This window comes from Homo sapiens, chromosome 2 (assembly GCF_000001405.40).
Source record: "Homo sapiens chromosome 2, GRCh38.p14 Primary Assembly".
NCBI lineage: Eukaryota > Metazoa > Chordata > Mammalia > Primates > Hominidae > Homo > Homo sapiens.
In genome coordinates, this window is record NC_000002.12 from 160,291,993 (window position 1) to 160,315,075 (window position 23,083).

Consider the following 23,083-nt stretch of genomic DNA (forward strand, 5'->3'; position numbering starts at 1 on the left):
CATTTATGTTGTGGGTCCTTCTCTACCTTGTTTAATGGTGACATAGTATTTTATTTGCATAGTTTATTATTGTAACTAACACCGCAGGAACATCTGTGTGTGGATCTTAATCTTTTTTAATTCCAGTGCCAACTGCTATAGTGGTGGGTGTACTGTATGGTGGTATTCTAACCAGTATTCTAACTGGCTCATAATTAGTCTCCAAGGGTTTAAAATTCTGCTTTTGTATTTACTAGCTAGTGACTCCGGGAAAGTTATTCAATGTCTCTGGTCTCATAATCTCTGAAATGGGGATGATAATAGTGCCTACTTCAAAAGATTGTTATAGTTAACATAATAAGTGCTTAGAAGAGCTAGTGTTCTTAACTACTGTGGCAACAGGGGGAGCTCAAACTTTTGAATTATGGCTCCTCCTCTTGTTTTCAAATGAAGAAAAATTCTCAGGAGAGGGACACTTCTGGTTCAGAAGGTCTAAACACTTGGGGACTGGCCTGTTATCCATGGGATTTGAATCTGAGAGATTTAAGGAGCTGGCTAGAGTTGCTGCCTTGGCTTCTTACAGAATGAAGAAATGTTGAAGTTATAGTTAAGGATAAAGTTACTGGTCAATGTCTTTTAGAAAACTGTTACACAATAACACCTACAACTTCTACCCAAGAGCCTTGTGCTTTAATAAAATCTTACTCCACTATTTACTCCTCACTGGCAGAACCTGATCGTGAAAGGGTGTAAAATGTTGATTTGTGAGGCTGGCTGTAGGCTGGGTGTGATCGATGGTGATAATTGTTGTAAGGCAGCCTCACCATAAGCCTGGTGTGGGGACTAGAACACTGGCACATCTCAGGTTGTGGGCCCCTGTCACTTTTTAAAAACTAGTCTTCTCCTCCTCAGTAGGAATGAATTTGAATTCTGGATCTGCAAGACCGCCCTTGCCCCACTGGCCACCTAGGCCTGTTCCAGCGCTTTTGCTGTCACGACAACAATTCTTCTTAAGAGTATAGCCCTTGAAAGGTACAGCTCATGATGCTGTGTGAGTTCAGATCCAGTTCTGTTTTATGTACCGGGTGAGGGAGATATGACTGCACATCCTGAAGGTACCAGGGACATTCCACATGTCTTCAAGTATTTCTTTTGTCCTAGAGCTACCAAAATTTTCTGTTTTTACAGGGTAACAATGCTTAAGAGAAATATTAAGGGAACAAAATGGGCAATAAAAACCTTTGAAAAATCTCCAGGCCTTTTACTAGATTCATAATTTTCCCTCTAAACATTATCTTTTCTGCTACCTGGCATAGGACAATGCCCTCATAATATCACTATACACACAGAGTTATGAAATGTGGGCAAGAGCGGTTTTCAAGCCCCACTGGACACATAACCAATTGGAAAAGTCAGAGTAACACAGAAAGCAGATGTAAAACAAGCTGAAGCCTTTGAAGGGAGTCTGCCAGCAGACACATATGCACTTCATTGAGGCTCCTCTGTGACAAGATGAAGCTGTGAGCGATGTGGCAGAATGATAACAGTGCAACACTGAGAATCTAACAGGCATTCCCTGCCCTTAGCACACAGGGACTTATTCACACTCCATTAATGTCATGGAGAGGTTCAGAAAGCGAGATGGGAAATCATACTGTCTCCTGCAGCACTGAACACACAGTTAGCCTTTGTCTTTGAGAGGTGGTGGTGGTGGCGAGGGGGAGAGGTGTTTGTGCAGGGAGTCAGGGCGCCAGAGCTGTTCTCAGCTCTAGGATAGTTCCAGCTCACATGCCATACGCATTAGTCTTCTCAAAGACTGTACTCTCTTCCAGGAAGGTCCTAGAAGAGCATTTTTAGACAAATCACTGAATCATGATCATGTGTTTCAGTGTTTTTGCCTGAGGCATGTCTCCTAATTTGGACACTGGTTCTAGATAACTAAAACTTCCCATCTCTGTTTCTAACATTCATTGTGTAGAAAACTGCCACCATACTATTTCTGCATAATGGAATTTTTATCAAGCAAGTATTAAGTGGTTGTGGAAAAACTCGATGGAATTCACCTAGCTGTGTCATGAAGAAGCCATGGGTTCTTTTACCCTGGTTGGGGACATTCCATGTAAATCTGACTTAATACAAACAAGCCACCTCCAATATTTCAGGAAAAAATGCAGGACTGGGTGGGGAAAGACAGAAGGAAAGGCCACATAAGCAATTATTTTTTCCCCCAACAAACTATAATATACATTTAAAGAAACATCTGCTATAAGAAAAGATAAAGCCTCTTTTAAAATATAGTGACATCAGACACAAAAGCACAAGATTTTAAAAGAGCATTTCAGAAAGCAGACGGCACTAGAAATTGTGATGTGGTACATTAGATTTTTACAAAACTGTAACCATGTGCTTTATTATGTGCCATGCCCCAGGCCAGAGTGGAACATGGCTGGCATGAGGGACCCAGCCATGCCACTCGGGTATGGAAAGAATATGGTGGCAGGAGGGCAGGCAGTGTAGAAGTGACAGCTCATGTGCATAGCTGACTTCCTCCTGCTTAGTCATCTAGAGACTTCCTTAAGAGTGTCACAGCTAGGATGAGTTCATTGTTCAGTTTGTTCATTTTGAGAAAGTATCTTTCGGGAATTGTGTCTAACGTGGGTTTCTTTTCTGTACTTGGCTCCAATGTCATGGGCAAACTGCCAGCCATGCAAGAATCCAAGTATTCTGACAGGAATCATCCCAGATAATTCTGCTTACGCCAGCTAAACAACTTGCATCATTAAATAAACCGTCTTCTGACTGTATTTATGAAATGTTATGTCTACCTATCAATGAGACTACATTATGCAAACATTCAAGTGGAGGCTCATTCAACTGACCCCTGCCTGACAATATTTTTGTTTTTTATCTGGTTCTTCTGATAATAATCATATGCCCTCCACAGAGAAACTGATGCTATGGAGTAACCATTCAGGGGATATAAAGAAAGAACAGTATCTAATACACAAACTGGTACTCAAAAGAATTCTGAAGTCACCATGTATACAAGAAAAAAAAAAAAAAGAAAAAAGAAGTCTAGAGAAGTTGAAAACTCTTTCACATTCTTTGTGGGTTTTCAAGTCTACTGGGGACTTGTTTTGGAAAAAGCTGAATTCACTGTGCCAGTGTGCTTCCAAGTCTGGCATTATACATTTAACATTCATGCCTAAAGGCAATTTAACCTCCTGTGCAAAAAGGTGGTATCCAAAAAGGCCCTCAAATTAGCAATAATTCTTGGGAAGAGCTCTGCATGAAAAATGCTCTTAGAAACCTGTTGGTAACTTCTGGTGGTAGGGTGATGCACAAGTTCCCTGAGTCTAGCACAAAATTAAAAAGAAAACATAGCTCCTGCCCCCAAAGAACATGCAATCTAATTGTCAACCAAGACTTACACACTCAAAAGATCATTACACATTCAAAATGGCACAAAATTAAGTGCTAATTCAGAACAAAGTGAACAGCTTGACTGAAAAACTGTACCCCTGCAGTAACGCTCTCAATGTAAAAGGAACTAATCTGTTTCTTGTGCTCCATTTGTAACTTGGCACAGCTTGGAAGAAATTACTCTTTACTAGCTGTGAAGGTGAAGAGGATCCTACGATCATTTACATGTGGTTTGGAAATCTAGGGCTTTTATTTCCCTTGAATGGATGTGACCAATAGTCTGCAAACCCCCTTCAAAGAAAACACCAATGACAAAACCACGAAGTTCTTTAGAGAAAAAAAGAGACTGTCTAACCTTGATCTGTGACACCCTGAGATCTACTGTATTCAAGGAACTGAAGAGCTTTTGTTGTTATTAATTTAGCAAACCATTCCTTCAACAGGGAAGATCTTATCTTAGACTGATACACCATCAAAACAAAAGTGTCCTAGATGTTTTTCCTTCTCAAACTTTCCTTGTTGCACACAAGAATGAGTTAAAAAAGCAAAGAGGTCACAAGTAGGTGGATGAATAGGTGGTCACAAGTAGGTGGAATAGTCCCTTCAAAGGGACTAATGTGTGGGGCCCTGCTCGTGCAAAGGCTGACACCGTAGGAGCAAGAAAACGCCAGCTGGGCACAGGTGCTCAATGCCGGAGGCTGACAGGGTAGGGTTTACAGAAGACTCCCACGTACAAAATTTCTCCTTTGTCTTTACTTGGGCAGAAGTTAAAAACATTATTTTCTCTTTCCATTTTTTTTCAACTCTACTGATGTTGATGGGAAAACAATACTAACTTAAAAAACAAAAAAAGGAATCTCTTCCACTAGATTGAGTTTCTTGAAATAATTACTTCCAGGTTTTATATTTTATGCTCCAAATTTGTGTATGTAAGCAGTTCAACTTCAGATACAGTCACAGATGCAGTGTGCTCTCAGGTTTTAGTATTACAAGATCAGGTGTAGCCTGTGGAACTGCACATACAAATTAGTTTCTCTATGAAATGAAAAGCAACTGAATACAGAAAATTAAAGTGAATTTCTAATGGTAAACATCAGTCATCTAGCTAAAGATAAAACAGTGGAGCTACGGCGGAATAAATACTAAACACTAGTTATACGTGCACAGCCTTGGAGAAACTGCTCTCTTCCATGACTTCTGGCTGGAATGAATCTAACTTCAAAACACCTCAATGTTTCTTGGCTGTGTCTCATGTGAAAAACTGGGATAAATATTCTATATTGCCTCTGTGCTTGCTTTCAAGATTGGGCCTGACCTGTTTTTTTATGTTATTTAATAAGGTTCAATTCACTGAATCTATTAACTTCAGTGTGTACATATTTTTGCATAGAAAAAGTGGCAAAAATCTGTGTTTTGGCAAATGGGGCACTCTGTTCTAATTCTTGTGGATTCTGTGGCAGTTGCTCACTTTAGAGACTCCTCCCCCATTCAGATATGAGCACCAGTGTCTGCTCTCCCAGCCTGAGTATTTGGGATAAATCTTCTTGATATGGTGAACCCACTTGACACTCCAACAAACAGGTGGCCAGGGTAGCAGTTAAAGGCTCCCTCTCCAGACCTGTACCCAACACTAAGTGAAACCTCAACTTTAACCCTTGGGCATGCTTGGGCAGAAGCTGGAAAGTAGGACTTTTAGCTGACATGGACCTAAGGCTCAAAGAAGACTTGCTGATCTGGGATACAGATTGGGAAGTAGAATTACAGATGCATTATGCCAGCTAAACATAAGATGACTAAAATTACAGGGGAGAAAGATGGAGGAGGGTGTATGTGGCTTTTTTTCTTTTTCCCCATTTTAACAATTTCATTACCTCCCCCTCAAAGCAAGGTGATGTGGTTTCTAAATTTTGAAACTTTCTCCTTTCTGGCAGGTGGCATGCTAGTGGCTGGCTGCAAATCAGATCAGAAGACATTTCAATTTCCCCCCACATGGTAGCTTGTTAAGAACATGGTATTGGCCTGGTGTTACAGTGTAGTAAAATTTATTCAAAACCACCAAATATTTGTTGTTGCATAGTATGGCTCAAAAGTTGTGGTGGGCATGAAAATAAAAAGCTGAAGATACAGTTTCTACTTTCAAGGAGCTTCTAGTTTAGTGGGACTGACACATGTAAACATGTTAAGTGCCACAGCACACACGGAGGTGTCCTCAAGGTGATGATCTGCAGACACAGCATAACCCAACTGGGTCAGAGGAGGTCCTTGCAGGGAGAAGGCAAGCCCTGAACACAGTCTTGAAAGCTGAGGAAGAGACAGCCAGGCTAAAGGGAACCAAAGGGATCTGGGTCATTGGAAACCATGAGAGAAAGCCAAGAAAAATGATGCAGCACGCTGTGTTGGGAATACCATTTGTAGTTCAATGTTGGAGGAGGATAAGCAGGAAGGCAGAGGATGGAGGGAGACAGGACTGCAGAAGTAGGCAAGGGCTCCTGTCACCTTTGGCTTTCCATGCCATTCCAGGAATCCTCAATCTTTCCTTCTAACTGAGAGGGGGTCGATTTTTAACAATAAAGTGACACATAGGTATATATTTTATCTAAGTCTCTCTGGCTACAGTCAGGGAGAATACCTTAGAGAGGTAAGAAGAAATAGGGCTGATGCAATGGTGCAGATGAGAGATGATCAGAAATTAAACTAGGCAGTGGCAGAAGAAAGGGAGGGAGAAGGTAGATTCTAGAAATAATCAGAAAGAAAAATTTGGGGACTTGAATGATTATTTGTATGTGAGATACAAAGCACAGGGGAGGTAGGGGAGTCCAGTCCTGGGTTTCTAGCTTGGGAGTCTGGGTAGATACTGGTTCCACTAACTGAGAGCAGGAAAACAGGAGGAAGAGCAGAATTAGATGGGAAGTGAGGTAAGGGGGACTAGTGTAGTTCTGGAGAGGATGAATATAAGGTAACTGAGGTCAGGCAGTCTGAAACTCTGGGGAACAGCCAGGATGAGAGATGAATGAGAGTCAATGACTATGAATATAAGTAGTAGTTAAAACCTTGAGAGTAGATGAAATTATCAGAATCCTGAGCCAAAAAATGGAATTCAAGGCAACACTAACAATTAAAAGCAGATAGAAGAAATAAGTTTACAAAAGAGAAAGGATTAACACAAGATGGGAAGAAAACGGAGACAGGTGCAAAAGTAGTCAAGGGAGGACGCACTTCATGGATGAGTGAGGGGCCAGCAGTCCCAAATACATACAGCAGACAGACACAGGATAAAAAGAGGGGAAATTCTCCAGATGGGGTAATCAGGAATTAAGAGTTACAGGTTGAACTGTGTGGGGTCCTAACACCCAGCCCTCAGAATGTGATCTTACTTAGAGACAAGGTCATCAAAGTTAAAGTAAGATCATGGCGAGGGGGTAGGCCTTCATCCAATATGGCTGCGGTCTTCCTAAGAAAGGGAAATCTGGGCACAGAGACAGATACACAAAGAGGGAAGGTGCTGTGAGGAGATTCGGGGAGAAGACAGCCATCTACAAGCCAAGGAGAGAAGCCTGAAACAGATCCCTCATAGCCTGGCTTGGGTGTCTGGGTAGAAGGAACCAACCCTGCTGACATCTTGATCTTGGACTTCTGGCCTCCAGAACCCTGAGACACTAAATTTCTATTGTTTAAGCCACTCAGCTTGTGGTACTTTGTTATGGCTGTCTAGCTAACTAATATTGCGCATTTACCAAGAGGAATTTCAACCACACACCAGGGAATGTCAGATTGGAGAGAGTGATGCATAAATGGGAAGTAAGGAAGTGAAGACTACACTTTTAAATGTTGACATGAGAAGGTGCTGTAAGGAACCAGAGTGCTTAGTTTAGTTTCTAGATTGTAAAGACTTAAATGATTTCAAACACAAATGGCTATCTTCTTGAATATTTTTGGCATGAAGTAATTCATAGTTTTTGTTCACTGAATCCTGTGATTTAAAAAATGTCTATTGTAGTTATGTTCACAAGTTTTGTTCCTAGTGTTACTTGTTTGCACGTTTCCCCCCATTTCGTCACCAATTAGTCTTGCTAGATATCTATTTTAGTAACTGAAAATCAAATTTCTCGGCTTTGCTGAAAAAAAAAATGAACAAAAGCAAAAGACAGAGACTGAAATTATAGGAGAGCAAGGCAATGACTGGCAGAGCAATGTCTCAATGAGACGGCACCTCAAGGACAGCTTCGAAACCCTTGTACATGAGACTTTAAGAAAGGGGACTGATAAGACTGGATGTGGGTGTAGGTCCCCTTGCTGGGAGAGAGCAGGAAGCTGACGGAGCTTCTAGCTGGTGATTTCAATTTTATTCATCAAGTAGGAAGTGAAGTCATCCACTTGAGATTAGGGAGGGGGTTAGGTAGGGGACTGAGCAGGCTGGGGAAATTGAGAACTGCTGCTAGGGAAGGGTAAGGAAGCTGAGTGAGGACTGGTGGTGCTGAGCAATTGATTAAGCTGAAGACATTTAATTTGTGGTAGTGCCAATCTTTGGCTGCATGGATATAACAGGAGTGGTGTGCGTGAATTACAGCAGGATTAATTCAGGTTCAGCATTCTGTCATGACAGTGTGAACAAGGGATGGGGTGCAAGAAAAAGGAGAATGCCACTTAAGAAATGATTTTAACACTCAAAAATGGAGACCAGACTTAGTAGGAAAGAGAAACAGGTAAAGGAGGATGAATAAACAGTGAAAAGAGAAGGATCCCTTTGTATTTCAGATCAGGGTTTGTGGGAGTTAGAGTAAGTGTGACATTGGAATGAAAAACCCATGAAGTGTGGTGTTCTTGGTAATGACAACACAATGTAAAACCATGGGAGAAAGTGGCTAAAGTGGAGTGGACATAAAGGCCATAGGAACTGAGGTCTAGGCACTGCTGGGATAGAAAGGTACCACAGTGCTCAACGGATATGATCAAATGAAGGGAGGTTCACTGAGGATGGTGATAAGGTGGTTCAGAAGCTGGCTGCTGCATCAAAAGAGGAGTGAATTGCACAATGCTTTACAAGTCAGCTCCTTACCACTGCTTCCATTAACATTTAAACATCCAATGCCTATGCCTAGGGAGAGGTGAATTTTTAAGTCTTATTTCTAAATCCAACAAAATGCATCTTAAAGAGTGAAATGAGGGGTTTTTGTTCTATTGAAGAGTCATCATGTGCTAAAGTTAAACATACATCATATAGAAGACTACTGATGAAGTTTCAGACAAACAACATACCAGAAACTCCTGGTGGTGTCTTAATAAATTTTCCATTAAAATGACCAATAACAGCTTCACATTTTTCTGTTGATTCCATCCTATTTATAATAAAAATAGAATACATAAATATTTAAAGGTTTCTTAACTTTCATCTTGTTCGGTGCATGCATAAACATTCTTATAGGTTTTTTGGATATAAATGAAACCTAGTAAAAATGTGAATATGATAAAGGGTCTATTCTACCTTTTATCTAACTGCTGCTTTTGTACTTCTATAGTAAAATGACAACTGATAACAATAGAGTATATTCTGAAGCAAAGCAAGAATCTACTGAGTGTTTAAGATCAAGTATATCAAACGGATAATTTTATTGTAATTGTTGTAAAATTGAAAAATCAATACACAATAGCTTTGTTAGCCATAATAGTGAATTGCAGATACAACAGTTTAAAATACTAGGGTATTTTCTACTTGCTAAAATACTAGTCATTTTAAAATTGTCTTTGCTTTCACAAATTCACAAAATGACAGACTAAAAAGTCATGATAACAGCCAGTATCAGTGAGAGGGTGCGCCTTATATGCTTCTTACATTTGCTTCAGGTTTAAAATTAAATTAGTGAAGTCAACTATATACTTTCTTTGTCACCTTGGCTTTGGAGGAGTAAAGGCTGGAGGCTAACTTTACAACTTAGTCAATTCCTATAGGTGGCTGAAAGTATCTGAGAAACATTGCTGGGAACTTAAATTACTTCAAATCATTTTTCTTTAATGGATGCAACACTGAATAATCTACTAAAAACACTCTATACTCCTGGACTACTCAGAGAGTTACATCTTAGTTTTAACAAACAGTGATAGTTTCAAAAAACAATGTAATTTAATTGAATTCTCTCTTTGGATACAGAAATGATACGACTTGATCTGTTTTCAGAACACCCACAGAGGTGACAAAATGATGCTGAGCTATTCAGTGACTCACTTGCGTCATTTTAACAAGTGGAGCACATGCTGGAGATGCTGGCCTTGGTGACTTACTACTCATAGGATGTTTTAGTTTTATGATAAAACTAACTGGCCTGACAGAAACAGCAATGAACTAAAATCCAGATGAACCAAGTACTAGCCCCTGCTTCATTATTTGGCAGTTAGGTAACAATGGAAAAGTTCCCTTTTTTGTCTCAATTTTCTTCTATATAAAACAACATAATAATAATGCTTTGTTGATATATAACAGGTCTGAGGTAAGATGTGATTGTCATTTGTGTATAAAAGCAAACCCTCAGAAATTCTTCCTACAAAATCAAAGTCATTACTTTAAAATATATACACATTATTTGTTATTGCAGAGTATTAATAAGTTTCTAATTAATGCATCATATAAAAATCAGCTTTTATACATGGGCTTTTAGATTAGAATTCTGATCAAAATCAAAGAGCTTTCTATTTAGTATTTTTCCATCAGAAACCAAAATAACCACTACTCTGAAGTGTTTTTTTTCTGGGGAGAAAAAGATAAAAAATTAGATGGAAGGAGTGAGGGCACTTTAGCTATAACTAGACTTTTAGACTTTTTTTTTTTTTTTAAAGACAGATCTGTCACCCAGGCTGGAGTGCACTGGCATGATCAAGGCTCACTGTATCCTCCAATTCCTGGGCTCAAGCAATCCTTCTGCCTCAGCTTCCCCTGCAGCTGGGACTATAGGCATGTGCCACCATGCCTGGCTAATTTTTAAACTTTTTGTAGAGAAAGGGTCTCACTATGTTGCCCAGGCTGGTCTCAAACTCTTGGGCTCAAGCAATCCTTCCGCCTTGGCCTCCCCAAATGCTGGGATTATAGGTGTGAACCACTGCATGCGGCCCCTAGAAGATTTTATTTATTTATTTATTTATTTTAAGACAGTCTCGCTCTGTTGCCCAGGCTGGAGTGCAGTGGCGTGATCTCGGCTCACCGCAACCTCCATCCCCCAGGTTCAAGCGATTCTCATGTCTCAGCCTCCCAAGCAGCTGGGATTACAGGTGCCTTCCACCAGGCCCAGTTAATTTTTGTATTTTTAGTAGAGACAGGGTTTCGCCACGCCGGCCAGGTAGGTTTCGAACTCTGCCCGCCTGGCCTCCCAAAATGCTGGGATTACAGGCATGAGCCACCATGCCTGGCCTAGGTTTTATTTCTCACAAAAAAAAAAAAAAATCTGAAATAGAAATTATAAAATGTTAGTATTTGTCATATCTGTGTGGTGGTTACACAGTTATCATGTCCTTGTCTTACTTTTCTGAATGTTTTACATATTTCATTTTAAAACCTAACTCATTTACTTTATTGATGAATCAAATTTCCATCGAATAAGAAAAAACATACTGATTTATCTATTGAATTTAGGAGACTGACTGTTATTTTTAAAAAGTTAGAAGCATCCTGATGATCTAAGGACACACACACGTTCAGAACTTTTGCTCATGTGATAGTTCCTTTCCATAAGGACCCAAATATTTAGTGTGCTCAGCTTCATGAATTCTAATGAACTTGCAAAAGATCTGGAAAAATGCAGTCTGGTATTTACACATAATTTAAGTTCACAGTGCAACTGCTCCCATAACCCTAGCTGAAACTGTCTCTTCTTAGTCATTTTTAATTTTCCAAGATAACTTGGCAAAGCTATTGTTGTTGACATAATAAAGACTGGGCAGAAGGCTTACCTAGCAAAGCCAACACCACGACTTGTACCACTGGAATCACGTAGTATCCTTGTAGAAATAACTTGTCCAAATGGTTTGAGCATATTTTCTAGTTCTTGCTCATCCATGGAGAGTGGCAAATTAGAAATGTAGAGGTTGGTAGGATCTTGTTCCTGTTGCTAAAACAGAAGAGAGTGTTGTCCATTAATTTCCAACAGAAGGTGAGATATTTATGTTAACACACCTATTTTTATTAGCTACTTTCTTTGCTCAAGTCCTTTTAAAGTACTCAGAACCTCAGAACACCAAAGTCACCCTGGACTCTTGAAAATAGTGTCTGAAGCTTGGACAATCTGTGCAGGCCAGACACGATCCCACCAAGCCCTTCTTAGCAGATCTGGAAATGGCACTACTGAGTTGGAGAGGATGCCCTCATGGAACCACAACTCTCAGTTGTTTGCGGTGTTTCTAAAAATAACTGACCTCTCCTCCACTGTTATTTTTAGGAGTCCATTTCAGGCACACTATTGCGCAGGAAGCTATTATTTCAATTTAATTATTGCTAATAATTCAACTTAGAGATACATGAAGGATTCTGGACCAAGTCATCTAGCATCCAATAGGGATCTGCCTAAATTTCCGTCCTCTGCTCTATGGCAAAGTTCACACTACTTTTGAGTCATGATCACCAACAGTAAAAACAGGTAATTTAACGAAAACAAGAAATAACAAAGCCGTATAAAATAGTCAATTCTGGGTAGGGAAAATTTTAGACTCTTGGAAAAGCTGAACTCAAGAGTAGATGGGAAAGGAAATACTTTGTTCAGAGGACATGGCATTGACTTGGGACCCAAAGATCAAGCAGAAGTCAAGAGGCTTGCAAAAGGCTATCTAAGGAGTTTGATTTTACTTTGTCAGTCACTACTGCTTCAGCTTTCCTACTTAAGCAGTGCTAAAAGCAAGGAGAATAATTATGTAACTGTAGGCAAAAGGCAAGGTAGTCTTGCCAGAGCTGCAAAATGTTCTTGAAGTCTTGTGTTTTATCTTTAAAAAAAAGTCATGTAAATTTTGCAATCTACTTCCTATCTAAGTTTATTTTAATAGAGAAACAATGTTTTTGACCTAATACCAGTAAGTAACACCGACACTCCAGGAAGATAAGCCATGCTTATCTTGTGATATTACGCACATGAGCTGCATAATGACATTTCAGTTAATGGCGGATGGCATATACGATGGTGGTCCTGTAATAGAGATGAAAACTTCCTATCACCTGGTAATGTCTTGATGATCCTGACACTGTGTAGCCCTGGCTAATGTGTGTGTTAGTGTCTTAGTTTTTTATAAAAAAGTTTAGAAAATAATAAATAATAGATTTTAAAATAGAACAATGCTTATAGAATAAATGTATAAAGAAAATACTTTTGTACAGCTGCATAATGTATGTGTTTTAAGCTAAAACACACATACTTGACAAAAGTCAAAAACTTAAATTTAAAGGTTTATAAAGTAAAAAAGTTACAATAAGCTGATTCATTAATGAAGAACAAAAATTTTTCTTTTTTTGAGATGGAGTCTTGCTCTGTGCCAGGATGGAGTGCAGTGGCGCGATCTCAGCTCACTGCAACTTCTGCCTCCCGGGTTCAAGCGATTCTCCTGCCTCAGCCTCCTGAGTAGCTGGGACTACAGGCATGTACTACCACGCCCAGCTAATTTTTGTATTTTTAGTAGAGATGGAGTTTCACCATGTTGGCCAGGATGGTCTCGATCTCTTGACCTTGTGATCCACCCACCTTGGCCTCCCAAAGTGCTGGGATTAAAGGTGTAGGCCACTGTGCCTGGCCAGAAAGAAATTTTTTAAAATAAATTTAATGTAGTCTAAGTATACAGTGTTTATAAAGTCTACAGCAGTGTAATGTCTTAGGCCTTCCCATTCACTCACCACTCACTCACTGACTCATCCAGAGCAACTTCCAGTCCTCTAAGCTCCAGTCATGGTAAGTGCCCTATAAGGGTGCACCATTTTTATCTTTTATACCATATTTTTACTGTACCTTTTCTATATTTAGATACACAAATACTTATCATTGTATTATAACTGCTAACAGTATTCAGTACAGTAAGATGTTGTACAGGTTAGTAGCCTAAGAGCAAGAGGCTATACCACATAGCCTAGGTGTACAGCAAGCTACACCATCTGGGTTTGTGTAAGTACACTCTATGATGTGCACATGATGACAAAATCACCTAACAATGCATTCACCAGAATATATCCCCGTCATTAAGCAACACATGATTGCACACTGGTAGGTGACGGGGAAACAGGAGGAAGAAGAAACTGCAGTTTGAAAGCTACATCTTGAAAAATAGGGCGGTTTTGGCGGCATGGAAGCAGGGGAATGATATGATCAAACCCATCTTAGTTTTGATTTTAGGTTCTATCTTTTAATAAAGATGGGGACCCCTTAATTAAAGGGCACTAAAACACTCTTTGGACAGAGATATGGTATAAAAAATGTTACAGAAGAAACACATATCAAAATATTGTGAGGCCAGGCACAGTGGCTCACACTTGCAATCCCAGTATAGGCCAAGGTGGGAGGATCATTTGGGACCAAGAGTTTGAGACCAGCCTAGACAACACAGTGAGACCTCATCTCTTAAAAAAAAGTCAGCGAGATGTAGTGGTGCCCATCTGTAGTCCCAGCTATTTGGGAGGCTGAGGCAGGAGGACTGCTTAAGCCCAGGAGTTCAAGGTTGTAATGAGTTGTGATCATGCTACTGCATTCCAGCCTGGGCAAGAGCAAGATTGTTTCTCTCGTGTGTGTGTGTGTGTGTGTGTGTATACACATATATATGGAGTATATATGGAGTGGACTTTCTTTTTAAGAATGTTCATAGGAGAATTTGTTATGTATGAAGAATTTTTAGAAGGGGATCGACAATGTAGGCACTAAATCTGTGTTTTAGTTGCTTCTGTTATTAAAATATTATTAAAAATATTACACATGCTTTAAAGTCTTGATTCAACTTGAAAGTTTACCGATGAGGAAATAATATTTAAAAATGCTATAAATCAGAATCCCAGAAAGAACTGGGCTCTTAACCCACTCTTTGATATAGTGAAATAGAGTAGACTAACGCAGGTAAGTATTTCCTATGATGTGAATGCATTTGTTTTCAATAGCAACGACCCTGTCGGTTAAAAACCTAATTTCATTTGGGATGACCTTTAGCGCTAATGTTATTTATGTTTCTTTTCAAACGGTCAACATATCTTACAAACATTGTCCACAAAGTTGCAGTAATTTAAAAAAAAAAAAGAATGGAAAGAAACTCCAAGCTGGCAGCACATGCCACAAAATAACAAAGTGTCCATGAATTCTTTTTTTTCTAATCCCTTCTTTTCACGGGTGTTTTTTTTTTCTTTTTAAATTTTACTTTCTTTTTAGTTGTTGTCTATGCATTCTTATAACCACACATTCACTGTGAACAAGACATATAATGCATGTGATAACTGGTGGTGGTTCTTGAAATGAGGATAGTTTAGTATCTTTAAAAGCAGTGACAACCATAACTGGTTTATTATTTACAATGCTATGTGTGAAAAAAACACTTATTCTTTCAATTATAGGTGACCAAACATAAAAATAGGGTCAACAGGCCTCCTTTGTCCCTAGGCATGGAAGGGTTCAAGGGCTTCCATAACAAGTAGAAAACTAGATCTCACATTGGCCGTCAGAGTGATAAACAGCTACTAACGTTCACGTGAGTAGAAAAGCCAGGATCGGAAGTCCTGCACAGCGTAAAGCACTCAGTCATCATCCGAAAGAAATTAACAAAAACCTCCCCGTGCGTGTGGAATGGTTCCTAAAATGCAAGAACGGGGACTTGGCAGTAAGAGCAGACATCTGTTTTCTCTTGTACAGAATAGGTTCAACAACCAGCAGATAGCCAGTCACTGGCATGTGACTGCAAACTGCTCAGAGCATGGTGAAGCTCTGGATGGAGAGGGGGGATTATATTCCTGCTCGTGTGACTGCCTATTTATTGAAAAAAAAAAAAAAAAAAAAAGTGTAAACTTCCCAACAGCCAAAAAACATATGAGGATTTGCTGACCCCCATCAGGCCATAGGAGGAAATGAAAGGCCTACAGAAGCCACTTTGCTAATAGATATAAACAATGTCCATTAGCGTTTTCTGTCTTTGTAGCTCGTTATCTGCGTTTCTTTTCCTTTTATAGAATGTGAGTCTTTTATTTGAAAGATGTACACATTTGTAACATTTGCCTAGTTTAACATAAACAGGTTTTCCAAAAGGCCCAAGGCCATTAGGTTAAGTTTCATCAGTGTACTTGATGGATATAATTTTAAACTGTCCCTTTCTTAATTCTCAATATCTGCCCAAGCTTGGAAAAAAGTTATTTTCTCAATTATTTTATTTGATCATCAACAAAACAAACACTTAAAACCTGCCACATGGCAGGTACCAGACAAAGCGCTGAAAATTAAAACAAGAATAAAAACCAACCACTGGTCTCTAATGCTCTCATTTTGCAGTTTTGCAATTTAGTTTTGAATATTTGTGGGGTTCTTTTTCAACTTAGGTACCCAGTATGTCAAACAATATTATATTTCTGTCCCATCCTCTAAGTGATTGCCCTTAATTTTTTTCTGATTATATAAAGATGAAAGACTTTAATATATGGCAATATGAATTTTCCTGATTAGTTCATTAGAGGAGAGTGGAAAGTGACGGGTACCCTCCCTATCACCCAAGCACAGGGGCTGGACTTAAACTCCTTTTAAAAATCATTTCCCCACTGGGTGTGGTGGCTCATGCTTACAATCCTAGGCAGGTGGATTGCTTGAGCTCACGAGTGCGAGACCAGCCTGGGCAACATGGCGAAACCTGGTCTCTGCAAAAAAATACAAAAATTAGCCAGGTGTGGTAGTGCGTGCCTGTAGTCCCAGCTACTCAGGAAGCTGAGGGTGGAAGGATCGCTTGAACCTGGGAGGCGGAGGTTGCAGTGAGCCGATATCACCCCACTGCACTCCAGCCTGGGTGACAGAGCCAGATCTGGTCTCAAAAAACAAAACAAAACAAAACAAAACAAAACAAAAATCATCTCCCTGAAAGATGTGTTTCAGGTGCTCCTTTATCCAGACAGCATAAAGGGGCTAAGTCAAGTCTAGATACTCAAACTCATGGTTCTATGGTATAGAACAATAAACCCACTGACATTTAAAATACCTCTTGTAACTATAATGATATCATAAAAAAGAAATCAGGTCTAGGAATCTCAAGTCATTCTACAGGGACCTAAAGAAATTCACAATATGCAGAATGTTGGCAGCTGGCCAGCACCTCTGAACCTGAGTACTGGTCCTCGCCACAGATGATGGAGGAAGGGGTCCTTTTCCTTAGCCAATGTATAGTATCAAGCTTTCTAAAGAGGTCTTTGAACAGTGCTCATTTTCAACCTGGGGGAAAGCTAGTATTTGAAGAGCGCTGTAGACACGACATATAGTGCCAATATATACCCAGTCCAGTGTTGAATAAATGCATTGTAAAGGCTTCTTCAAAACAGTGTATAGTTAATATTCTATGCTGCTTAATATTACAGGCATTGAAAATGGTGCCTAGGTAAGTGTTCAGGGGCCACTCTAACTGAAGCCTCTACATTCTTAACAGATTGCTAAAATAGAACTCTTTCTAATTCTGTTTAAGGGGAGACCACAAAACAATGGGTGTCAGGCACTCCCACATTCCAGAGTGAGAAATCAGACCACCTAAAGACAGCCTGAAAGGCGCTGGCTGAGAACTGGTTTGGGACACTTAACTGACTGCTCACTTCCTATGTCTAAGAGACTGGGGAGACTGAGAGTGAGCATTTATGGGGAGAGAAACGCTGAAGCGTTCCAAGTCTCACCATGTGAATTGCTTTCCTCTCACCATCAGTCAAGCAAGAGAGGGCGACCACTCAGGGAGCTCGATCTGTGTCTCAGGAACCTGAATGGATACAATAGATAGATGTCTAACTTAAAATCTAAGGGAATCTTCAAGGAGAAAGGCTGAAAGGCTGACAAGTATGGCTGGGAAGTAACTCTCTCCTAAGGATGACTGGCAAAGGTAGATCAGATGTGGGCCACACAGGTAGAGTTGGCCCAGGGTTGTGTTAGATCCTCCCAAGAAGGCTGCTTCGAGGGGAAGAAATTCCAGCAGAAAGGGGCTGAAGATAGACCATTAGATTATCAGGAGCTGACCATGTCAACCTGAGGACATGTATTCTTTCACTTCAAGGAGCTATAGGAGAGAAAGATCAATTTAGGGAGGTGGGGATGGAGTTGGTTAAAGACCTCAGAAAACCAAAGCATTCCATGAGAGAAAACATCAGCATGCTGCCTGGCTAGAAAAATCAACATCAGATGACCTCACTGTCAGGTCATCCTTTTCCAGCACACCATCCCTGGAGGGGTTAAATGAAGCCATGGCTAGTGAGCTGAAGGAAGAGTGAGAAAAACACAAGCTTTGGAAATAGGAAAGAAATGAATCATTTGCTCATCTCACTATAAGCTTGCTACTTGGAGCAGACCTAATCCAGGGAAGGGAGAAGCTTCAGCTGAAGATTCACTACATGATACTCAAAATTTTTGTCAAATAAACAGTACTGGAGTATTAAATTACAGGCATCACACACACTTAACATCATAATCTGTTCCTGAAAATCAGAAATTCAGCATCAAAATGTTAACCGAGAGCCTATTTCACATTATGTTAAACAGGAAAAAATTATAATGTATTACACATCAGTCAAAATCCTCAACCAAATTTTCTAAAATGTAACTATTTTATTTTCCTATTTTTCTATAATTCCCTAAAATGTAACTAAATACACTCATCATTACATCTGTCTCTGTATGTGTGTGCACACATATAACAAATGGTTCTGTTGGAATGGAAACACTGCTGCCTGATCACCAAATAATACGGTTGTCAGCCAACAATTGCTTTTTAGGCTGTGATGTCTCTCAGCATCAGCAATATCCAAGACACACATCCCTTATGTTGACTCTCAGCAGTTTTAAAAACATCTACATATGAGTCTGACATTCTATAAACTGTATTTGCTATGTAACTTGAGACTCTGACTGAAAATGTATTGAAACATATGTACGCTTCATGGAGTTTGGCTATGAAAAATTGAGGCATTCTACCAAACACATATCAACCAGAAACACCTGAAACGAAAGAAGCTTGGGGAACTTCTTGAAATAACGACAGTGGCTGCAGAAGTCGTGAGACTTGCCCTGGATTTTATCCAAAAGCAAGGAGCTTCAGTGAGTGCATTATTAATAGAACGGACAGTGGGGGAAAGAAGTAAGTTGTTTTCCGAGTGTGCCCTAAAAGTCCTGCTTATACAATGCCGGGTTACCCATTGTTTACAGAACCAGATTAAACATTCTGCAAATCATTATGCAACATAGGTATCACATAGTCATAATAAACATATTTAAAACCTCATAATCACCGTCTTTCAATAATGTCACAGAGAATCTCTACGCGATGGACAAATAATCTGAAAATCATGGTGCTCACATGAGGCCAGGTGTGGTGGTTCATGCCTGTAATCCCAGCACTTTGAGAGGCTGAGGTGGGCAGATCACTTGAGATCAGGAGTTCAAGACCAGCCTGGCCAACATGGCAAAATCCTGTCTCTACTAAAAATACAAAAATTATCCGGGTGTGGTGGCATGTGCCTGTAATCCCAGCTACTCAGGAGGCTGAGGCAGGAGAATCGCTTGAACCTGGAGGGGCAGAGGTTGCAGTAAGCCAAGATTGTGCCACTGCACTCCAGCCTGGGTGACAGAGTGAGACCCTGTCTCCAAAAAAAAAAAAAAATCTATCTATCTATCTATCTATCTATATATATATATATATATATATATAGTCTGTTTATTTTAACTTCTTACTCTGGAGTTTAAGAAAATCTAAAGTAAGTCCAACTCAATGCAAAGTTTTAAAAATATTAAATGGCAACGGCTACTTAGAAAGGTGATTCCTCTTACTAATTACTGAAATCTTTATGTTGATTCTTTCATTCAAAGTACATCTCTACCCTATAGCTTCACACTGGTTTTTCAACATCCTTAAGGTCCTGGGAGGTAACTTATCCGCTTACCAGAGTCCTTTAACTTCTATGAACCTTCTTATGTGTATGTAAATGCTTCTCAGGGAACAATTACGTGCTACAATTCAAAAGTAGCAGAAGACAGTATAAAATTACTTTCCTCTTTACTTGAAGAAGCCAGATAATATAAAAGTATTGCTCTTTTAAAAAGAATACTCAAAAGATCAAACTGCTGAGTTTCAGGCTTGTTACTTTCCTCTTTACTTGAAGAAGCCAGATAATATAAAAGTATTGCTCTTTTAAAAAGAATACTCAAAAGATCAAACTGCTGAGTTTCAGGCTTGAAAATATTTTCTGTAGCAACTGAAGAACTCAGGTTTTAAAAAATTTAATTAATTACACAGATGTCTTAATAACTGCACTGTAGTCAGTAGGTATTATGATGTAATGCAAAATTACATTTGGGTAATAAAGACTGGGACATAAATATCAGTTTATTCAACAGAGACTCCTAAATGTGTTTGGTGCATAATGGAATGTGTATTATAGAATGTAAGCACTTAAGAGATGCATGTCATTCCAAGTGTGACTCTCCTTGTTGAGCCTTAGCTCTTTTAATAAAAAGGCCATGCCCGTTTGAAAGTGGGGTTGGGGGGAGATGCACAAGACAATCTAAGGTCCCTCCAGCTTTAGAATTATGACTGCACCTGAACTAGGGATTTAGATCATGTAAGGCCAACTTTTTCAAGGCCATCAAGTCTATCTAAGGCATCATTACTTTTGGAAGAGGGTCTGAGCATCTTAAACTAACTTTCAGGATGAACCTAATGCAAAGAGAAGGACACAATGACTGGCTGATCAACTCCATTTACATCCAGAAACTGTGATATTCTAAGTCAAAACCGTAGAGGGAAACTACCATAATATGAAAGTTTTCAAGAAAAAAAAAATGTACCTTATCATAATTAACATCCATGTGTACTGTGCTAAAATATATATTAAGCATGAAACATGGTCTCCCATTTTATAATCCCCTAACATTCAAGCAAGTTACTCACTTGAAGAAATTTTCAACAATATTGCTCATCTAAAATATGCTAAAAGTTCATCAGAAATAAATTTTGAATAAAGTCATTATAGAACTACTAAAAAGTAGATTTATATACCATTAATAATCAATACCTAAAAATGTCTCACTATTGCACAGTAAAAATAGCATCTGTAGCCCACATGTGCATTAAAACTACTTGTTTTATTATTTGTATAATGTATGTGCCAGTTATATATATTTTTGAAATAGAATATGCTATATGCTATACATAATTATCTTTTGAAACATGTCTAGAAGTGTATTCATTCCCTGGGCATTGACATTTAAATTTAAAAAAAAAAAAAACAGTACAGATCTTAAAGACTCACAAATACCTGATTACCTGAGAAAATATGCTGCTATTTCTCAATTTACTTATGGGGTTACATAATTTACTATGTAAATTTTATATATTTATAAATCCTCCTTCATAGATTAAGTTACAAGGAACAGTCCTTTGCACAATAGTGACTGTGGAGGCTGCGGAGGCACAGGACAAGTGTCCAGAAGGCGCTGTGCTGAGTGGGATGAAGGGGAGATTACAGATGCAGATAGAAAAAGCAGACCTGTCGGGCTTCACAACCAAAGCTGTGGAACAGAGAAGCAATTGCTGGCTCTCAACTCACCTTTGCCATTTGAGCTTGAACCCCACTGGCCTTCAGGGCAGACACAGCTTTTTGAGCTGCTGCAGGGCTGTCAAAGTCGACAAAACCATAACCTGAAATGCAAAAACACACTTAGTATTTAAGCCATTATTCTGTGGTTAGGTAAAAGGGTAAAAGAACAGCTCTACTTTGTTTCTGGTGTGGGCAAGAGACATGAAAATGTCCTGAGGGAGCTCAGGCGTTAACAGCTGCAGGCCAGTGGCCTCCTGGGCCCTTCTTCCCTGTCGTCTATCACCAGACAGACAAGCCTGCCTTCAGAGGGAGTTGGGGGAGTAAAGAACCAGCGTTTCCCTATTCAAGATCTTACGTGTCTTGTATTTACTGGTGGGGGGGAGACATCTAAGTTGCCAACCAAGTTTAAAAAAAAGAAATTTAAAAAAAAAGGAAGAAAAAAAATAATCAACTTCAGGGAAATAGCATTTTAATGATTCGGTAAGAAAGATGGAGACATCCTACAGAGTTTACAAATGACAGAAACAAAAATTATGTTTATTTTGTAGATAAACTTGTATTTTTAAAAATTTGAATAAGTACAACTATTAGACACCCCCAATATAAAATAATCTAAAGTTTAGTACTCAGTTAAAGATATCATATTTATTTTCTTAAAATACAGCTCATCACACCCCTTCAAAATAAAGAAGAGCTGGGGAAAATGCCTCAAGACACCTAAAATATGTTTTGGCAGTTCATGTTCTAAAGTCTAAAAACAAAACATAACAAAACAAACACATAACCTCCTTAGAGATGCTCTGGTTCAAAGTTTCCTTATCCATAGCTTTACAAACATTTTTAATGAGCTGGTCATCTGTCTTCCCAGGCCACAACAAGTCAAAAGCAGAAAATTAGGGGAAAAGGGGGGCTGGGGTGATGGCAGGTCTGCTACAAAGTAAGTATATGAATGGCATCTAACAGTCAAAACTACTAACAAGCAATAAAAGAGAAAAACTATGCAAAGAATAGGACTTACACAGCATAAGCACTAACAGCCTCATGAATCTCAACAGATCCCATGAGTATCACCGTATCAAAATAGAGAATCACAGACTTTTCACTGTGATAATTCTTAAGTTATTGAGAAAAGGGTCAAGTTATATTTAGTAGACTAACGAAACGGTACCAGGCAAAATACCAGAGCCTTCCATGGAACTCAAACTAATTGTAAATGAATAAGAATACTTTGCAAAAGAAAAGCATCATTGGAAGGTTGTTTAGAAGAGGAGCTAGCCCTATCATTTACTTACAGAAATATTACTAAGTAATATTTCTATCTAAATTAGTAGTAATTTAGATAGTATGATACTAGTGACAAAATCAACATCAATAAAGTCAAACAGAAAGCTCAGAAACAGCCCAAAGTCAGTTTTGCAGTATTAGTACCAAAAATATTGCCTGGTAACGAAATAAGTTATAATGAGATGGAGCAGACTATTGACTACAGAAATAGATGTTTCAGGAGAGATGAATGTTAAAGCTGAAACAAGAAGCGGCTTCCTTATATATTACTTGGAATTGGGCTGAAATAAGGCTTAATTTGATTTAGACAGTAGAGAAATAGCCAGGCTGGAGAGCAAAAGGAAGAGGTTGATCTAGGTAAAACAAAGAATGATACTCAACTACCAGGTTAGAAATAAGGTTAAACATATCTTGGATGTTTTTTTAGACATCTGTTGTCCATGCTAACACGCAACAAAGCTCTGTGGATACACACACAGGCATGTACATGCACAAACTCTCTCTCTCTCATATAGTTTCAGCAGGTCATAAATGAGAACCCAGCTACAATGAAATGATACAGCTTTTACTGATGGATATTTAAGTTTTTTCCTTCAATTTTGCTATTGTCAACAAATTACAGTAAACAGAAGATCTCAATTTTGA

The 23,083-nt window shown here is 39.0% G+C and overlaps 1 protein-coding gene across 3 annotated transcripts in view, besides 2 other annotated features; it reads right to left on the minus strand.

Moving 5' to 3' along the window:
• RBMS1 (RNA binding motif single stranded interacting protein 1) overlaps window positions 1–23,083 on the minus strand; it is a 221,657-nt gene that overhangs the window by 19,842 nt on the left and 178,732 nt on the right. For all 3 annotated transcript variants that reach the window (NM_002897.5, NM_016836.4, XM_047445368.1), the window contains exons 4-6: window positions 21,164–21,255; window positions 11,338–11,495; window positions 8,659–8,738 (exon numbers count right to left, since the gene is read on the minus strand). In NM_002897.5, coding sequence (NP_002888.1) covers window positions 8,659–8,738; window positions 11,338–11,495; window positions 21,164–21,255 — 330 coding nt within the window. The remainder of the gene's footprint in view (window positions 1–8,658; window positions 8,739–11,337; window positions 11,496–21,163; window positions 21,256–23,083) is intronic.
• Window positions 16,994–17,163: an enhancer, noted in NCBI's record as "experimental_54032 CRE fragment used in MPRA reporter constructs". NCBI's record gives its function as "activates a minimal promoter by MPRAs in K562 erythroleukemia cells, with activity observed for the introgressed 2:161165582 or rs79054495 variant allele {active_cell/tissue: K562}" and the evidence as "EXISTENCE:reporter gene assay evidence [ECO:0000049][PMID:34662402]".
• Window position 17,079: a transcriptional cis regulatory region, noted in NCBI's record as "Neanderthal adaptively introgressed variant 2:161165582 (GRCh37/hg19 assembly coordinates) or rs79054495 in the experimental_54032 CRE". NCBI's record gives its function as "modulates activity of the experimental_54032 enhancer by MPRAs in K562 erythroleukemia cells {active_cell/tissue: K562}" and the evidence as "EXISTENCE:reporter gene assay evidence [ECO:0000049][PMID:34662402]".